The sequence below is a fragment of the Homo sapiens genome, chromosome 4 (genome assembly GCF_000001405.40).
Source record: "Homo sapiens chromosome 4, GRCh38.p14 Primary Assembly".
In the NCBI taxonomy this organism is placed as follows: domain Eukaryota; kingdom Metazoa; phylum Chordata; class Mammalia; order Primates; family Hominidae; genus Homo; species Homo sapiens.
The window spans coordinates 151529291-151543530 of NC_000004.12; the positions used below are offsets into that span (position 1 = coordinate 151529291).

At 39.5% G+C, this 14240-nt stretch overlaps 1 protein-coding gene across 8 annotated transcripts in view; it reads left to right on the forward strand.

Annotated features, from left to right (window-relative positions):
- Positions 1–14240, forward strand: part of FHIP1A (FHF complex subunit HOOK interacting protein 1A) — a 261328-nt gene that overhangs the window by 120115 nt on the left and 126973 nt on the right. Inside the window, exon 1 of one of the 8 annotated variants that reach the window (XM_011532220.3) lies at positions 3697–5610. The exons of the other annotated variants lie outside the window; for them this stretch is intronic. The gene's annotated coding sequence lies outside the window, so the exon portion shown is untranslated. Of the gene's footprint in view, positions 1–3696; positions 5611–14240 lie in introns of those variants that run through there. 8 annotated transcript variants of the gene reach the window in all.

Sequence of the window (14240 nt, forward strand, 5' to 3'; positions counted from 1 at the left end):
AATCAAAAGGCTGAGGGATTGTGGACTGTCATTCTGGGAGTCCGCCGTTATTGTAGCCTGCTACTCTCTGAGTTGCCCTTGTGTCTCAGATTTACCTGCTTTGCTGCCTGCTGCCATCTAGCTTTACCTCCTAGTTCAAATCCCCAGGATAATTTGAAAGGCTGAGCTAATTCATGATTATCTCTGACATTAGAGCACATCATAGGTTAAAGGCCAGCCTAGGGATTGTTTGCTTCTAAATCAGGTTCCCATCACTCATTCTGTCAGGTTCCATTCCCTGTGACTAGCAGGTTGATGGTGTGTGTATGTTTTGGTACAGGAAATCATGTCTAAGGCTGCCCCCGAGCAGTGGTTGGCAACATAACCTGTGCCCTTTGTGGGGGCTGTGGGCAGGGAATGCATCACAGCTGGGGTGAAGAGTACACTCGTGTCCATAAGATTCTAGAAGGATGGAGGTTATCCCCATTTTGAAACTGAGGAAATTGGAGCCAAAAGAGGTTAAGTACTTTGCTTAAAGTTACAGACTTAGTAAGTAGCAAAACTGTGATTTGAAGCCAGATTTATTTGACTCCAGTAGGCCATGGCATGTTTTTCAATTTTGAGTTTTTCAAAGATGAGGTGGGGCCATATTGAAACTTCACGAACAGTACTGGCCCTTTCTTATTCTTGGAGAGGCTGTAAAATTTCAGAACTGTTTTCCCTAGTGTCACACAACCAGAGTAGTGTCCTATGTTTTCATCTTTAGGAAAATGCCTTCTAAGAAAGATTCTGAGTTTGCGTTTATTGAAAATAAGTCGTTCGAACTCAATGCTCTGGAGTCAATACTGTCCTCACTATAGTACAACTAAATTCAGGATTGGAGTGGGGGTGGTTCTTCAATTGAGAAGTCTCCTCCTGAGTTGGAGAACACTAGAACTGAGCATTCCTGAAGTAGATCCTGTCAGTCCTGCTCATTTGCCCTTCACAGGTTCTGTACACAGGTTGTTTTCCTCCTTTAGGGTTTTATGGTTGCCCTCAAGCACATGGAGGCCCGAGACCAGGGCAGTAGGTAGGCACCTGGCACATGGTAGGCATACGATTCATATTGGTTGGGTAACTAGATGAAAGTGGGTACCCATGTGGCTCCACTGCCTCTCCTCAGTTAGGTACCTTCCTGATGAATCACTCTTTCCTCATGCTACAGATTTGCCATTTCTTTTTGTTCAAATTTTACCAGTCTTGGAAGAGAAGGCAAGTTTTCTGTAACCTGTTTAGGGAATCTTTGGAATTCTGTTTGGGCTTCTCTAGTGGTTCAACATTCAACTTCTGTGGTTTTGACCATTTTTAATCTTGTAAATGAACTCTGGGAAAACGTTTGCAATTGTCAACTCCTTCTCTTTCCTGCCTCCTCCCCTCTTTTGACATGGCCTCTTTGGTGGCGTTGTAGTGACTAACAAACAGTATAGATTTTGGAGCAGCCAGACAGACCTGAATTTAATTCTCTGCTCTGAAACATTCTGGCTGGGTGACCTTTGGCAAGTTACTCAGTCTCTCTGAGCTTGGGGCAGGTACAAAAACACTTAGCATAGTGCATGGCATATGGTAATGTCTCAAGAAAAGTTACGTGGTGCTAATATTATTATAATAATAATCAGGATAATTGCCACATTTCTTTCTAGGGCTGTCAATGCTTCTTATTCCCAAAGTGGGGAGCTGTTAACTTTGTCTGCAGCAACACAGTAATGGACAGGAGCCTTAATGCATGGTCTTTTTGTTTATATTCTGTTGTCACCCTAGAGTTTGAAGTATTTCAAGTGTTTTAAAGCACATTTTGTATGAAGATAATTATCATGCTTCTAATGTATTTGGGAGCTGAGGTATTTTAATTAATGATGTGCCAGCAACCCTTTCAAATAGGGTGAAGTGTGATTTTTAAGGCCTTCATCTGCTTGGTCATAATTAGGGACATTTGGAACGTTCAGGCATAATATCTGCTGATTTGCACACTTTCATTAAGCAATCAGGACTGAATGACCAAGTGACCACACTTTCATTGGATCAGGTTCCAATTGTTGAGGTGGAGGGGCCTTCTGTGCTTTCTCCTCCTCTCCCCTGCCCAGTTTTTCCTATAACATTTACACACATTCTGTGTTCATCTAAAACAACACTACTGTGCGTATTTTTTCAAGGCCTTGATTTTTGTAGAATCCCTGTACCGCATTTTCTTTTTTCTTCTTTTTTTTTTTTGCCTTATGAACCAGTCTGGCCGAATCTCTGTTAGAAAGTAAAATTTTCATATGAGACAGACTGTTATGGGAGTGTTAAAGGTGATTAATAATGTAAATGAAAAAGATGAAGTTCATTCCATGAGGGAGGGAGAAGAAGAGTTCTCTGAGAACTGAAAGAGACTGTTGATTTCATATCTAAGCTCCATAAAGAGAGGAACCATGTTTGACTTGTTCACTGTTGTCTTCCTTGTACCTAGCACTGGTCCTGGTACAGAGTAGAATTTACTGAATAAATTTATGTGCAATGCATGCCACTTACGTAAATTACATTGGTATCTACAAGGACAGAGCCTAAGTCAGAATCTGGATCTCCAGGGCCCAAAAAGAAGTATATGAAGAAGAGAATGAGGTAAAGAAGGCAAGAATTTAAAAAATCAACACAGAAATATATAAGGAATGTAAAAGAAAGTTACAAAATAAAAAAGGTAAGTTTTGCTCAGTAGCATTTTATATGGAAGAAATGTAGAGTATGTGGATACGTGGCATCGCATATTTCAATGCTGCTATTTGATTATTTTTTTAAAAGCAGAAGTTGAGTAGCTACATGACAGCTCTGCTGTTGTTTGGTCTATATCGTTTTTTTGGTTTTGTCATTGCGAAACTGGGATGATTTTCAAGCTCAGAGTCTTCATTATTTTTCCCCTTTCCACCTTAGGTTTATAGTTGCTGTGTTGAATTTCATAAATCTTTTTCTTGCTATTTACACAGATTGTGTAATTTCTAATCTACTTTCATTTGCCAGATCCTTTGTACATTAAGTGGGTCAAAAGCTAGTACCTCAAGTATCTTCATTCAACAGGATTTTGAGTTTTAAGCCAGTCCTCCAAACACACACTCTGTTGTGCAGTTTTCATGGACAAGGTACTCTTTCTTTTTCTACCCTCATGGCCACTCTCATTACAGACATCCAGAGGTGCCACAAGAGCCTCCTGGAGGAAGGTTAGCGTATGCTCCTTTAGTACTGGGGCACTTTCAGGCAACACAGTGAGTGCCATCCTTATGTCCTAAAGCTAGGTAAGGATTCTAACTCCTGAATCAGATCAAAGAGGAACTTGGTGGGGGGTGCTTTCTGGGATGGCGGTGGAGTCAGGGAGAGGACAGACATTTCCTGAGGAATAGGAGAAACAGATAATAGGAGAACAGATAGTAGGAGAAGACATACTGAGACTGGGAAGAAAAATAGGTTTAATTGGACTTAGAGTTCCACATGGCTGGGGAGGCCTTAGAGTCATGGCGGGAGGTGAAAGGGACTTCTTACATGGCAGCAGCAAGAGAAAATGAAGAAGCAAAAGCGGAAACCCCTGATAAACCCACCAGATCTTGTGAGACTTATTCACTGTCACGAGAATAGCATGGGAAAGCCTTGCCCCCATGATTCAATTACCTCTCCCTGGGTCCCTCCCACAACACGTGGGAATTCTGGGAGATTCAATTCAAGTTGAAGTTTGGGGGCACAGCCAAACCATATCAACCTTATTGATGTTTTTGCAGGTGAGTGCAACACTCGACTGTCAGATAATAATTGTAGCCCTTTAGCTGTGGAGAGAGATCTGTACTAGCTACCCACTCTAGGGCTGGAGCATGTATATAAGGGAGTCAGTTTAAGGAGTGTTTTTGGTGGTATGTAGGATTTATTTCCCCAGCCTGGTTGACGTGGCAAGACCCTGTCTTTACAAAAATTTTAAAAAATTAGCTGAGCATGGTGGTGCATGCCTGTGGTCCCAGCTACTGGGCTGGTGGTCGGGGTTGGGGGGCACCTAGGCGGGAGGATTGCTTGAGTCCAGGAGGTTGAGGCTGCAGTGAGTTGTGATTGTGCCACTACACTCCAGCCTAGGAAACAGATCGAGGCCCTGTCTCAAAACAAACAAACAAACAAACAAACAAAAAAAGGATATATTTCCTTTGGCTCATTGTAACACATAATTGTGACTTCCAATTTTGTAGGCATCTAGAAAAATTAGTTTTGAAAATTTGTAGAGTATGCCTATAGAACTGTTTACCAATCCATCTGTAATTATTTATTGATCACATAACATGTGACCAGGCCTAGCCAGCCCCTGTTCAGATAGAATAGTAAAATTTGGTGTAGGGTTTTTTAACTATCATTCTGTTTGTGATTTAGGTTATTAGGGAAAGCCCATTTACCCTGAATTCAAGACAGGTAGCCTCCGGGAGTTCTGAGTGGAAATTCATCTGTTTCCTCTGTCATTTTAGAGAAGGTGCTGCACTTGTACTTTCAGCAGTGGATTATGCACAATCAACCGTGATGAATATATGAGCATTTTTAATTAGTCTTCATGCCTGTGTCTAATGCAATCAGAAACCCTGTATCAGAGTAGAGATTTGTAATCAATCATTCATCATCTTCTGAGGCAGATATAAACCCATTTGCTTTTAGCCTGCAACTTAAAATATCTGCTTTAGAGAATTATTATTAACCAGGCAGATATCTGTAAATGAAGTATATTTTGAGCATGTAGACTTAAATCTCAAATTGTAGATTGCTCTGATTAGTGTAATTGTGAGAATTAAGGTGTCTCTAGCTTTCAGTCTGTCCATAGAAAACCTACCAAAAGACAAAATAGTGTTAGATAAAGAGTATCAGACTGGCGTTAAGGAAACCTGAATTTGAGGCCCACCTTTGCAAACTCCAGTTTTCTCATCTGTAAAATGAAAAGAGGATTGAAATAGCAGCTATTTAAGTTCTCACTATGTTATGTTAAAGGTATGTTACTTATAATAGAAACACTAATAGTAAACAACATCTGGGAACCATTTAATATGTCCGTGGAGGCACATGGAGCTTCTATTGTGTCACCTTTCCCCATATTGCTCCTATGAGGTAGTTACTATAAAAAGGCCACCTCTGTCCTTAGCTTGGGAGTTCTTGTTGGGGAGGCTGATCTCTGTAAGCTGAAGATTTAGAGATGTCAGATATGAATCCACAATGGTTATCTAAATAAAGATCATTGAATTAAATATAGAGTTCTGCAGAGATGATTTTTTGTTTATCTTAGTGGGTCTGTCAAAATTCTGCAATTAAAGTAAAATTGACAAATTATATTTTCAAATTTAACTGACAACCAAGTAATTATAGTGTATTTATCTGCTGTTAAAATAATTTTTTCCCCCAAAAGTGAAATTCTAGAGAATCCAAGAACAAGTTAATCCTCAGTGTTGATTAGCAGCATTAGTGAGCATGGAGAAAATGGATCACTAGTTATTGGAGTTTAAAGCAGTACAACTTTTGAGGAGTCCGTTTACATCAAAAGCCTTCAGATATTCCTACTCTTTGAGCTGATGTTTCCACTTCTGGGATTCTAATTGAAGGACAAAATCATGGGTATGTTCAAATGCTTAGTTAAAAGAATGTTCCTTGGCTGGGCATCATGGCTCACACCTGTAATTCCAGCACTTGGGAAGCTGAGGCAGGAGGATCTCTTGAGCCTAGGAGTTCAAGACCAGCCTGGACAGCGTAAGGAGACTGTCTCTACAAAAAGTAAAAAAATCAGCCGGGTGTGGTGGTGCACACCTGTAGTACCAGCTATATGGAAGGCTGAGGTGGAGAGGATTGCTTGAGCCCCGGAAATCAAAGCTGCAGTGAGCTGTGATTGTGCCACTGCACTCCAGCCTGGGCAACAGAGCAAGACCCTGTCTCAAAGGGAAAAATAAAGGAAATTCCTTGCACAGTGTTTATGACACTGAAAACCTAAAAGCAAACTAAATACCCAGCCACGAGCAGATTGGTTAAATAAACCCATTTAATGCCAAATATGTCATAAAATGGCACTCTCTGGGGACCAGTCTTTTTTCCTCCAATAATTAAAAAATCAATCTAGTTATACTTAGTAATTATAGGAATTTAGAATATACAGATAAACAAAACTAAACATACACAATCCCACTTTCCAGAAGGAACCATTATTGACATTTCCAGTTATGTCCTTCTGGAATTTACACTATATATACATATCTATGTGTATATCTATGTGCATATGTGTATGTATGTCCATACTTATATGTGTATTTGTAACTACACACACAGAAATGTGTGTTTAGTTCTTTCTCACCTATTTACTTACTAACAATCATTCAGACTGTACAGTTTAATGAAACATTGGGATCATACCTTATTTGGCATTTGTTAAAACTCCCAGTGCAAGAATAGTGCCTGGCCTGTAGAAGGAATTGAATAAATATTTGTGGAACAACTGAATGTATCTTGACTATCATTCCAGGTTCACTGTTTAATTCCAAAAGATTATTTTGATGACTAGGTAGAACTTCATAGTGTGTATGTACCACATTTAGTTGTTTCTAGTCTTTAAGTATAAAAGCCATTGCTGAATAAATGCTTTTGTCCCTTAATTTTCAACACATTACAATTTGTTCGTTACAGTTAATACTCTAAAAATGGAATTGTTGGATAAAAGGTTATGTGAGTTTCTCACTTTTGGTAGCATTGCCAAATGCCTTCTGGAAAGAGTGGGCCATTTTATATTCCCGGTGAAAGAATGCACTGTCTGAGTTCACACTTGAGAACATGAACTTTTTTTTCCCCCCAATAAAAATGTTTATTGGGATAATTGTAGATTCACATGCTGTTGTAATAATTATACAGAGAGATCCTTCCTACACTTTGCCCAGTTTCCCCCAGTGGTAACAGTTTACAAAACTATGGCATAATGCCATAACCAGGCTATTGACATTGATACAGTTCACACATCTTCCTTAGTTTTACTTGTGCTCTTTGTGTGTGCCCGCATTACATTCTACAAAGTTTGCCATCTGTGTAAGTTTGTATATCTACCACCAAAGTCAACATATTGAATAGTTCCAACACTATGTGGGTCCCTTCTATTGCCCTCTTATAATCACACCACTTCCCTCCTGCCCTCCCTGCCCCCATTTTCCCATACATCATCCCTAGCAACCACAAATCTATCCTCCATTTCTAAAATTTTATCGTTAAAAAATGTTATATAGGTGGAATCATACAGGATGAAACTATTTGAGATTGGCTTTTTTCGCTCAGCATAATTCCCTGCAGAGTCATTCAAGCTGTTGTTGGTATCAATAGTTCATTACTTTTTATTGCTGAGTGGTATTTCATGGTATAGATGTACCACAGTTTGTTTAATCATTTACCTATTGAAGGATATCTCAGCTGATTCTGGTTTTTGGCTCTTAGAAATAAAACTACTATGAACATTTGTATACGGGTTTTTGTGTTAACATAAGTTTTCCTTTCTCTGGGATTAATGCCCAGCAGGTCAGTTGCTGGATTGAACAGTAGTTACATGTTTGCTTTTTTATTCTTTATTTTTTTGTTTTTTTGACAGTGTCTTACTCCGTTGCCCAGGCTGGAGTACAGTGGCATGAACACGACTCACTGCAGCTTTGACTTCCCAGTCTCAAGCGATCCTCCCACTTCAGCTTCCTGAGTAGCTGGGACTACAGGTGGTCACCACTAACCCAGCTAATTATTTTTATTTTTTCTGGTAGAGACAGAGTTTCACCATTTTGCCCAGGCTGGCCTTGAACTCCTGGGCTTATGTGATCCTCCCTCCTCAGCCTCCCAAAGTGCTGGGATCACAGGTGTGAGCCATTGTCCCAGCCCATGTTTAGTTAAGAAACTGCCAAATGTTTTCCAGAGTGACTATACCACTTTAAACTCTTACCAGCAAGTGATCTAGTATCTCTGCATCTTTTCTGACATTTACTATTTTCACTGTTTTTAATTTAAGCCATGCTGATAGATATGCAGTAATATATCTTTGTGGTTTTAATTTGCATTTCCCTAATAGCTAGTAATGTTGAACTTTTTTCATGTGCTTGTTTGCCTTCTGTATTTCCTCAGAATTATCTCTGTTCATGTCTTTTGCCCCTTTTCTAATTTTTTACTGTTGAGTTTTGAGAGTTTAATATTTTAGACACTAGTCCTTTTTCAAGTATGTGGTTTGCAGATATTTTTGCCAGTCTGTAGTTTACCTTTTCATCTTCTTCACATGGGCTTTCATAGAGCAAAAGTTTTAAGTTTTGATGATGTTCAATTCATCAGTTTTTTCTTTTACAGATTGTGCTTGTGGTGTCAAGTCTAAGAACTCTTTTCCTAGCTGGTATGGACTTTTGACTCATCCCTTAGAGACCCTCTAACATTGGTCATAATTTTGCAGCTTGAGGTAACTGTGTTAGAAATTGGGTTGGAATATCCTTTGTTTTGTTAACAACTAGACTATTGTTTTTTCCTTTTTCATATCTTTAGCTGGAGAATGGTACAGCTCTCTTTTATTTCAGGCTGTCAGAGCTTTTCTGAAATGTTGCAATCCTGCTTCAGAATAGGGGCATCTGAGTCTTGGCATTCATCCCAGTCATAGCCTCTTTTGCCAATTCTTCCACAATTTCTGTAATTGTAACATGTAAAAGAACTCTTCATCCTGACCAGGAAGGATGGTGGTGAATGTGACAGTGGGGATTCATGGGTAAGGGATAAATGACTTTAACTGAGTCAGAAGCAGCAAACTTTGAGGGGTTTGTATTTCATGTTGAGAACGTTCCCTTAGACCATAGTAGTAGTGGAGTATAAGGAGATGGTTGAGGGTGAACTCTTTAACCTCATGGCCTGGTTTTTCATCCTGGCTCTTCCCCTTACTAGTTGTATAAGCACAGGCATGTTTCTTAATCTCTCCTTTCATCAATTTCTTCAGTTGTAGAATGAGGATAATAATAATAGTACCCATTTTATAGCGTTGTTCCAGGATTAAGTTGTTACATGTAAAGTGCTTGGTATAGGGCCTGGTAACTGCTCATAGTTGTTAACATTTTTATTATTTCACCTCTTGCATCTGTCCTGTCACCTGAAGTACTTTTTAAAATGCAGATTCCTGGATTTCCATTCCCAGACCTTCCAAATCAGAATCTGAAGGGATAGGGCCCTAGGAATTGCATTTCAGAAAGATTCCCACATGGTTCTTAGGAATGCTAAAGTTTTTGAATAGTTACCTTGAGCCATTACTATTTCTCCATGGTAAGTGAGCTCTCTAGTCTTTCTTTAGAGATGTGGTTGGGTACTTCTGCAAAAGCGCATACCTCCTCTCTAAGAACACTTCTGGTGTTGCCAGAAACTAACCAAACTTTCTATACAGAGTCAAGTTATGGCGGAACTGTGTATCTAGCTGGCTCAGTGGCATGCACACTGGGGTCAGGCGGATGTGAGACCATAGAATGTGATGAGTTCTATGACAAACTAGAGCATGAATGTTATATTCAAAGGTCTCCAGATGAAAATAAAACATAAATCTGTGGGCTGGATTCAGTATTCTGGCTGCCAATTTGTAATAGTTTTACATAGGTATGGAGCAGTGTCTTTAGGTGAGGTTGGGAGGGAGAATATAAATTTGCAAATCTCTTTGTCAATTTTCTTGTAAGTGTGCTGCTCAAGGCCAGTATTTTTTCTACCAGCCGTTCTATTAGGGATTATTGTCCAGTGTAAATATTGCAAATTAAACTCTGGGGATAACCTTAGGCTATATAGATAGCAGTATATGCTTCCTTTTTCAAAAACGATGACTCTGTAGCACTTCTCCCCCAAAGGATGTGGCAGAAAGCCACAGATATTCCCTCTCTGAGAGACTTAACTGATACTTTTTTAAGCAAGAATAACCATGATTAAAGTTACTGTTTTAAGTTAGAGACTAGCTTTTGAGAATACAACTGACTTCTTTTTATAGTACAGTAGACGTGGCCAGGCACAGTGGCTCACACCTGTAATCCCAGCGCTTTGGGAGGCTGAGGCAGGTGGATCATCTGAGGTCAGGAGTTCAAGACTAGCCTGGCCAACGTGGTGAAAATAAAAAATTAGCCGGGCATGATGGTGGGTGCCTCTAATCCCAGCTATTAGGAAGGCTGGGGCGGGAGAATAGCTTGAAACTGGGAGGCGGAGGTTGCAGTGAGCTGAGATCTCACCATTGCACTCCAGCCTGGGTGGCAGAGGGAGACTCTGTCTAAAAAAAAAAAAAAAAAAAAAAAATACAGTGGACGTTCTCTTAACCAATCTATGTGGTTCCCTGGTTTACCAGTGCTTTCCATTCTCTCTGGAAAGTACATTGACTCTCATGCCCACTCCCTGCTGAGTGCCCTGTCTGGTAGGCTATTTCCCATGTGTGCTCAAGGTTCCAAACATTTCCTCCCACTGCTGAGTTGTGTGCATTGTTACAGTAATTACATAGTTTCATTAAATAACAAGTATACTGATGAAATATGTGTGTGAAAAGGAAATTGTTTATTTTGATGAAGTTGAATTAATTGGAAAGACTAAAGGCAACTTGCCATAAGATATTGGTGTCAAATTGGATGTGGAAGAGAGAACTCTAAATGATTGGCAAAGATGTTTAAAATATGGAAGGATTCTGCACTGAATTGATTCATACTGAGGTTCTTCTCAACTTCAAGTAACCTAAATGGGAAGTTAGGTTTATGCAAGAAAGACAACTTTGACCTTCAATCAGCAGACCTGTACTTAAAGAAATAGCCTTGGCCTATGTGAAAATGCTGGCAAATAAATTTGCTTTTTTAAGTTTCATGATTAAATATTTAAGATAGGAACATATGTGTCATTTTTTAAAATGATTATGTACCTTAAATGGTATTTTCTCTTAATCTACAAACCATCATCCCAGTTGCAATAGAGTTTCTGTAGTTCCATCCCACAGAGCTATATTGCTAATAAAATAGAGTAGTTGACCAAGACTAGCCTGCAGCCAACTTGGGAAGAGGATCTCTTTTTACAGAAAACAGTGCTTTCAAAAGCGGACTATCCAGAAATACCTCATATATTTTTTTAAGTTTGATCCTTTCACTTTATACCTTAGTTCTACCTAGTTTTAGCTTTTCAAATACTTAAATATAAGTAAGTATACATTTCATAAAATGGTAAAATCGACATTTTATCTTCCTGTGAAAAATTTCTCATTAAGTGGTGCTTATTCAATATAAAGTGATTCATTTTTAAGCTCAAAGGTGTTCAGAATACTCTACAGCAGTAAAATTGGGTATAATAAACTATCCTTACTTCAGACATGAACTGATAAAGAGTTTCTTATATAAAATCCTAGTGGTAAAAATAAGTTTAGAAAATAAAAAATATTAACAGTCAGCTTATATGGCCAAATCTTTGTTCTGCTCCCATTGTATTTTCTGGGTGTGTTTTGCTCTCCTGAGTCAGGCAGCTGCTTTGCTGCTTAGGTTATTCCCAGACTTCTCAGGGCTCCAGGAGCATGAGCTTCTATGGCTTCCTGGTCCAATGTTCCCCCGAGGCAGTGATGTTGAAGGTAGAACAGACAAGACAACTTGGATAAACAACTACATAAAAATTTTCCTTATCTTGACTTTGGCTCCAGTCCATGAGTGAGACACAGTAGAATAATATCCTCGTGCTTTTTGAGTATGTACGTACCTCCTAAAGCTAACCAGTGAGTCATCAGCAGACTACTTGATGAAGCTAGTGTTGTTACTTTTCTCTAGGGTGTTCATCTCTTCCCATTAAGGACTTTTTTTAAGATATGCTACACTAGTTTTTAGACCCTCTCTTGCATTAGTAACAAAAAGACTAGAGATCATTGTTTATTACCTGTGATGGTAAGTACCCAGGAATATTTGTTGAATGAATGAACTGGTTTGCCAGTCTCAACAGACTTGTATTTGCTAATAACCCTGAGTGAAGAGGGACATTATCAGTTAGGTTAATAAAGCATTAAGTTGAGAGTGGGAATGTTAATGCAGGCATAATGGAGTAAAATTGCCTGGCCTGAGCTGGTAATTGGAGTTTAGCCACTGCATATACATTTTTACAGTCCTTTATGTTTCTTTCTCTTTTCCATCACGAGAGCTCATTCTTTTGAGACTCATGTCTGTGTCATCAACATCCAATAATATTCATTAAGCTCCTGCATGCCAAGTACTGCTGGGTTTCGTCCCTTTTAATGAGTGTGACGTTTAAGTTGAAGGATAGGCTTTTATGCAACACTGCTTTGTCCTGGAAGGAGTAATCTGTGAGTACACATGATTTTGGCACACTGTTTTCCTCAGTTCAGTGAGCTAATTAGATCAATCACATATTTTTGTTGGCAAGCTCTGGCTGCTTCTTTAAAACAAGGGGTAAATCAGTGTGCCTTTATGCTGGGAGATGTTATCAGACCTGGGCTCTGTCGGTAGTAGCCATTAGTGGGTTCTTTTATCTTGATTTTGTAAATAGTTGCTCCTTTACACAATAGATGTTCATGCTCCATGATTCCTTGCTAATTACACTTTTGTCACTTACTACAGTACGCCTTTTCGGTCATCAAGCATTGCTTATGCAGAGTACAATTGAGACAGCCAAGTAAAAAGGGGTCCCTGGAGAATCTCTGACTGGCCTGTGCACTGGGAGGATGGGTTGGAGCCTTGGGAAGTTCACACCATTTGCAGTGGGGAGGAGCCTGGCCTCTCCTTTCCTGTTAAGAGGAACCTCTCTCACTTTGTTGAGAGGTTTTCTTTTTTTTCTTTTTTGCCCAGTAAATTCTGTTCCCCTTCACCCTTCAAAGTGTGTGTGTGGCTAACTTTTCCTGGTTGTGTGACGAGAACCCAGTTTTTTCTACAACACAGTGTTGTGTGTGTGGTGCTCTGTTTTGTGCTGCTCTTGGTTAGGTTTTTAAACAATGCTTTAAAAATAAGTAATTGCACAAAACAACATTTAAGGAAATCAAAATACATGGAAACTTTTTTTGTCCAGCCCTTGGTGGAATGTGACTTGTCCCCTCCACATCCCCTGCTTTTTTTTATTCCCAGTATTAAGTATTTGTAAGCTCTCTTAATTTTCCCTTCAAAGTTGTTTTGATTTGTCCCACTCTATATTCTCTTTGCTATCACCTGGCTTAGTCCCTCATCACTGTACTACCTGCTTTACCTGCAGTATTCTCTCTCTCTCTCAACAGCCTCGTTTGCCTCATGCCAACTTATCCCATGTTTATCTGCCAGACTCATTTCCTTACATCCCTCTTTTGTCCTACAATAACTATGCTCAGAATTCTTTATGAGCTCCCAGTTGCCTCATGAACTGGCCCCTGACTCCCTTGCCTGGCTGTCATTACTCGGTTCCATGAACTCTGTCAGTGGCAGTTCCTGCTCCTCAAAAGTCAGTTGTCTTCCCTGGGGGAAATAAGCTTGTTTTCCGCTCCCTACAGCATGGCACCATGGTTAAGAGCATGGGGGAGCAGATTTGCTTGAGATCAAATGCTGGTTCAGCCACTTACCTCAGGAAGGCAACCTCTCTGTGCCTTAGATTTCTCATCTATAAATTGGGCATAATGCTAGCCCATCCTTCATATACTTCTGAGGTGTGAGTTGTGTTATGTATCTGACACAGTAAGAATTTAGCAAAAGGGTGAACTACTATTGTTATTATGTTGCCTAAAATGCCCTTCTAATAATTATGTTAGCACTTATGTATTGCTACTATGTGTCAGATAGACACTGTTCTGAAACTCTTTCCTATGTGAATTTGTTTAGCTCTTACAATAACTCCATGAAGAAAGAACTGGTACCCCATTTTATAGATGAGAAAACTGAGGCACAGAGGTGGAGTGACTTGCTTAACCTCATCCAGCAGATGTGGCAGGGCTAAGATTTGAACCTAGGAAATCCAGCTCTAGAGTCTGTGCTCTTAAGCACTGTACTGTAAACCTAAATTCTCCTTGTATGATAAACATGCTGTAAAGTGAACCCCCTCCAAAACTGTATGCTTAGCCCCTCACCACCAGCCCATAGGGATGGCTTTCTGAACTCCTAATGCATGTAATAGGCATAGAAAAGCTAAAGCCTTCATTGTTTTGTATCCTGCAGTCCTGTATATATATGAAAAAATTCTTTGATTATAATTATTGAATGCTATAATAGAGAATTTGGAATATGGAGACACCAAAGAATAGCATACAATAC